Below are 6145 nucleotides of genomic sequence, written 5' to 3'. Positions count from 1 at the left end.
TGTCAATTATTTTCATTAAAATGTTTTAAAAACAACTGTTAACTTCAAACTCAATAAAAGCAGTATTTAAATCAGATTTTTTTTTTTCTATAGTGAGGCAAGTCTGCTAGATAAACGGTAGTTCAGCCCATTTTCAAATAAACTGCTATCTGCACACAGGTCCTAATCTATGTACCTTCAACAGTATCTGTGGTCATGAGTATAATATTCATTTTTCTAGCTAAGGAAGTGAGAAACTAAAGACAGTTAGAAACTGAGGGTGTAATAATGATTTTCAAAAAATTCTAAAATTTCCATTTCAATGAGTTACACAAAAGCAATTAGAGCTATTTGACAATATTCATATTAATTATATTTTCTAATTCTAGAAAAAGAAATGGGACATTATAAATCAGTAATCGTTTGAAAGATTCCAACTTGAGACTTTTTAAACCAAGACTAGAAACCAAGAAGCCATAAAAGAAATGTCAGACATATTGAAATACACATGAAGTAAAAGCTTCTATGGCAAACGATACCATAAAAAAGTAAACAAACACATTTTAGATTTGGAAAAAAACAGGATAGAAGTGACAAAGGGTTAAATTTCATGATATTAATCAGACTTTTTACACCCTGAGCTAGAAAAAGGAAGCCTAACAGAAAATAAGCAAAAGATATGACTAAGCAATTCACAGAACAGCAAATCAAAATAAACAGCAAGCATATGAAAAGATACTTTAGGCTGGGCACAGTGGCTCACACCTGTAGTACCAGCATTTTGGGAAGCTGAGTTGGGCAAATTGCTTGAGCCCAGGAGTTTGGGACCAACCTGGGCAACATGGCAAAAACTCATCTCTACACAAAATATAAAAATTACCCAGGAGTGGTGGTATGCACCTGTGGTCCCAGGTACTCAGGAGGCTGAGGTAGGAGAATCTCTCGAGCCCAGGAGGTTGAGGTTGCAGCGAGCTGAGACTGCACTACTGCGCTGTAGCCTGGGCAACAGAGTGAGACCCCATCTCAAAAAAAAAAAAAGAACAAGAAAAGAAAAGATGCTTTAATTTACCAGTATTCCAGGAAACGCTAATAAACGTAATAATACTGGCAAAGATGGGAGGGAAATTAATTCTTTTTCATTTGCTGGTAAACATGTTAAGTGTTACAGATTTCCTGGGGAAAGGAATATAACAACATCTATTTAAAGGAAACATGTAGCCCTATACTCAGCAATCCCACTTCTGGAAGTCAATCCCGAGGCCATAAAACCACCAATATATACCGCTATATAAGGACACATTACAAGGATGTCTGCTGCAGCACTGTTCATAGTGGTAGAAAATGACACCAAGTGAATGCCTATCAACAATGGAATAGTTGAATAAATGATGATGCATTCATATCATGAGATACTCTGCAGTCATCTAAAGGAATGACTTAGAGCTATACAAGTGACTCAGAGGGACTTCTACACAGTACTGCATAAAAAAGCAATATACTGACAGCGTGTATAATATGCCCACACTTTTATGTAACAATGACAATTCTAAATGTATATATGTGTTCATATATAATTATACAAACATGAAAAAAACAGACTACATACTGGGTAGTTGACAAAGGTTACCTGGAAGTCGGGTGGTGCATGGAAGACAGAGGGTAAGAAAATTTTAAAAAGGAACAGAAGGGGGTAAAAAGTTAAACAAAAACCTCTCAGTATATACAATACGATTATTAATGTATTTATATAAAATTGTATGTGTATGCATACAGAAAGTTTCATTTAAAAAAATTTAATTACTTAGCATTTATTGAAGGGCCTACTGTGTTAGAATAGGCACTTGCAGTCGGGCGCAGTGGCTCACACCTGTAATCCCAGCACCTTAGGAGGCCAAAGTAGTCAGATCATTTGAGGTCAGGAGTTCAAGACCAGCCTGGCCAACATGGTGAAACTCTGTCTTGGCTAAAAATACAAAATTAGCCAGGCGTGGTGGTGCATGCCTGTAATTCCAGCTACGCGGGAGGTGGAGGCAGGAGAATCGCTTGAACCCGGGAGGCAGAGGTTGCAGTGAGCTGAGATCGTGCCACTGCACTCCAGCCTGGGCGACAGTGAAACTCCATCTCAAGAAAAAATAAACTAAGCACTTGAAAGTGTTAGTTTTTACTTTAGCGACAACATACTAATCTGGAAAAAGCATCATTTCTGGAGACAATTTTAGGTTCAAATCTTGGCTCTGGCTCTAACAATATGACCTGTTTATACGTCACTTTAACTTCTCTGAGTTGCTTTCCTCATGTCAAAACAAGGACAATACTACTTGCCCTGCAATGTTTTGAGGTTCAAATAAATTAGCACAAATGAAAATACTTCCTAAAATAATATAATTAAGGTTAACATAAAATCTGTCTTTTAACACATTCCAAAAATCAAGGCTTAATTTGTGCAAAGGCTTTATTCTTATGGCCCCATGATGGTGCATCCACTGCCGAAATGCAAGGGGCGTGTCCAGATTGCACTGGCCCGTGACGAAAGCTTCCAACATTGTGCAGTAAGTCATTTGGAATCAGAGGGCCTGGATTTAAGTCCAATAGCTGTGCAGTCTTGAGCAAGTAATTTAACCTTGAAAAGTCTGCTTCTGTGTTTATAAACTAATAATTGTGCATGCATTACGGGATTGTTGTGGAGAGCAAGCAAATATGCATAATTGTTTTGAAAACTATAAAGTGCTAGAAAATTGGCAGATTTTGTCATATTGTTTTTAGATTATACTTTCTTGGTGTATCTCCAGCAGGGAAGTATATATTTTGGACCCCAGGATGGCCTGTAAACTCCAAGGCCTGTAAATCTCACTACACATAAGTGTTACATATATGTAAATAAAGATTCACAAGTAAAACACTTTTTGAAATTTTTTAGAAAAATAGAAAGCAAAGGAGCAATTACTGTAAGCACAAGTTGTCTATACATCTCAATTTCTTTCCTTTTTTTTTTTTGAGACACAGTTTCACTTTGTTGCCCAGGCTGAAGTGCAGTGGTGCAATCTCAGCTCACTGCAACCTCCGCCTCCTGGGTTCAAGTGATTCTTGTGCCTCAGCCTCCTGAGTAGCTGGGATTACAGGCACGTGCCACCATGCTCGGCTACTTTTTTTTTTTTTTTTTTGTATTATTAGTAGAGAAGGGGTTTCACCATGTTGGCCAGGCTGGTCTCAAATTCCTGACCTCAGGTGATCCACCTCCTCAGCTTCCCAAAATGCTGGGATTACAGGCATGAGCCACCATGCCTAGACATCAATTTCTAACAAGATTTTGTTTTAGTTTGTAGTAAGAACAACATTTCTGAAAAGGTCATATATGCATGGTAAGAATTCAAGCAATATAAAAGATCATTTCAACAAAAGATTGTCTCCTGACTACTGAACCCTCTCATCCCACACCACCAGTGCCCCAATTTTCCTTTGTGGCAGTTTGGATTAGCTACACCTGAAGCAAAACATTATTCCATAGTTTTCTACTTTTTTTGTCTTGCCATTTTTAAAATCGTTTTCGCAATGCTCCAGAGCTCTGTTTGATGAGCTGAAGCAAAATGCTTTGAGCTTCTCCTTGAGGTAGGTCCTCCCTGAGTGACTTTCCTGCCATTAAATCCTAAAGGCTTATTTAATTGCTCCAAATCAACTCTTCAAGCAGAAGCCTAATGGTCTAGCTGCTGAGCATTTCTAAGGGCCAAGTGTATTGATAAATATTATAGAATAAAAATTGGGGCTGTCACTAATTGAGTGTAATGAGTACTGCTCACTTCCTGAGTCCATAGATTCCTAGCTGAAATACCTTGTGCTCTCATTCTTCCGACACTTACACTGCAATGTCATAGGAACCTCCAGTCTCCATTAGCCTCATTTCTTCTCTGCTCAGCTCAAACCTATTCCTAAAAGTCCTTTCAGAAGCATCCTAACGTCCTCATCCCTTACTTATTGCACCAAATGAACCCTACATCAAGCCTATCATCTATGTTTCCTACTAATACAGATGGCTGAGCCCAGTGAAACAGCATCACATAACTGCAGATTGCCATTACAAATTCCTGGTTTCCAGTAGGCCAAGTCCTTAATGCCACTTGTCAATCCTTTTCCCTATAGTATTATTTAGAAAACAGATTTGGCTGGCTGTCACAATAACAACAACCGTGGTTATACCATCATCATAACTGGTAGAAACAATACACTCCATTTCTTTTTCCCATAGTAGTTGAAAGGGCATCCCATGCTAGTGTGGTGGCTCAGTTCCTTGAGGACATCCAGGGACACAGATTCCTTCTATTTTGTTACTCCGCCTTCCCCAGTGAATGACCCTCATTTGGCCCATAGATGCTCCATTGCTTTGTCCACATTCCAGGCAGCAGGATGGAGGAAGAGAGGAAATGGGCTGCTTGCCCCGGGCTGCCATCTGGAAGTTGCACTTATCACCTGTGCTTACATCCCACTGGCCAGAATTTACTCATATGGCCACACTCAACTGCAGGGGTAGGTGAGAAAGTCTTAAAAAAATAAAATCAACTATTAAAAAAATTGAAGTGTAAAATATATACTGAAAAGTACAAAAATCATAAATGCATAGCGTGTTGAACTTTCACTAATAGAACACACATGCCTAACCAGCAACTGGAAAAGCAAGCATCTCTGGAACACCAGAAACCTCCTCAAGCCTCTAGACTGTATCCTGCTCCCACGGGTGTTTTATCCTGCTTCTCTGTTCTGACAGCATAGTTTCACCTGCTTTTCTACTTTATGTAAATAGAATCGTACACACGTCATTTGTATCTGGATTCCTTGGCATGGTATGTGAGAATCAGCTATATGGTTATATATGGCTATGTTCCCAACCCAAAATTCTACTATGAAAGAAGGGGAAAAATGCTCTCAGAGGACTACTAGTAGGCTACTAGCTACTAGGCATCTCTCTTTTTTATTTTTTTGAGGCAGTGTCTCACTCTGTTGTCCAGACTGGAGTACAGTAGTGCAATCGCAGCTCACTGCAGCCTCTGCCTCCTGGGTTCAAGCAATTCTCCTGCCTCAGCCACCCAAGTAGCTGAGATTACAGGCATGCGCCACCATGCCTGGCTAATTTTTGTATTTTCAGTAGAGACAGGGTTTCACCACGTTAACCAGGCTGGTCTCAAACTCCTGACCTCAAGCGATCTGCCTGTCTAGGCCTCTCAAAGTGCTGGGACAACTTTGGTGAGCAATCGTCCCAGCCGCTACCAGCCGTCTCTTTCACTGACTTTAATGTATCTTCCTAATATTTTCTTTCTAAAGCCCCTTACTACTTCCTGCACCCCACATTATCATATGACTGATTTTCCAGCTTTGCTGGAAAATGGAAGCTGTGAATTCCTTTATGTTCTTATTACTACAAATAGACATGTATATTTATCATATCTCCTCAAATGAACTGGCACAGAATCACTTGTGCCATATTTTGTTAGAGCAGTCATAAGCCTGCCCAGATTCAAAAGGATAGAAAAGAAAATTTATATCTTAATGGACAACAATGCATAAGAGCATGTGGGGTGAGAGATACTGTGCAGACATCTTTGAAAAATATGGTCTGCCACACCTAGCTTGAAAGCATTTGCACAGCTATTTTAAATCACAGTAATCATATACAGAACTGTGAGAAATAATAATGGCTTCAAGCCATCAAATTTTCAGGTGATTTGTTTTGCAACAATAAATAGCAGCTAGGTGTATCAGCTACCTACTGTCACAAAAATGCTGCATCTAACACACTACCCCAAAACTCTGTGGCTTACAATCATAATTTATAATTGCTCACAAATCTACAGGTCAATTTGGTGGCTCTGCAAATTTGGGCCAGGCTTGGCTGATCTCAGTTGGTTATCAAGTGTATCTGCGGTCAGCTGGCAGGCTGGCTGGACAGCTTATCTAGCATAGCCTCATTCACATGTGTGGCTGGTTGAGAGCTATTAGCTGGTACAATACAGGTGACTGGACTATGTGTCTCATTATCCAGGAAGCTAGGCTGGGCTTCTTACCATGGCAGCAGGGTAGGACTCTAAAAAAACAAGTGGAAATGTTCAAAACTCTCAGAAGTCTATTCAGAGATGGCATCTTGTTATGTCCTCTGCATTTTACTGGCAAAAACAAGTCA

Source organism: Homo sapiens, chromosome 13, assembly GCF_000001405.40.
Source record: "Homo sapiens chromosome 13, GRCh38.p14 Primary Assembly".
Taxonomy (NCBI): Eukaryota; Metazoa; Chordata; class Mammalia; order Primates; family Hominidae; genus Homo; species Homo sapiens.
The sequence above is the reverse complement of the archived record's forward strand: the minus strand, read 5'-3'. Positions refer to the sequence as shown.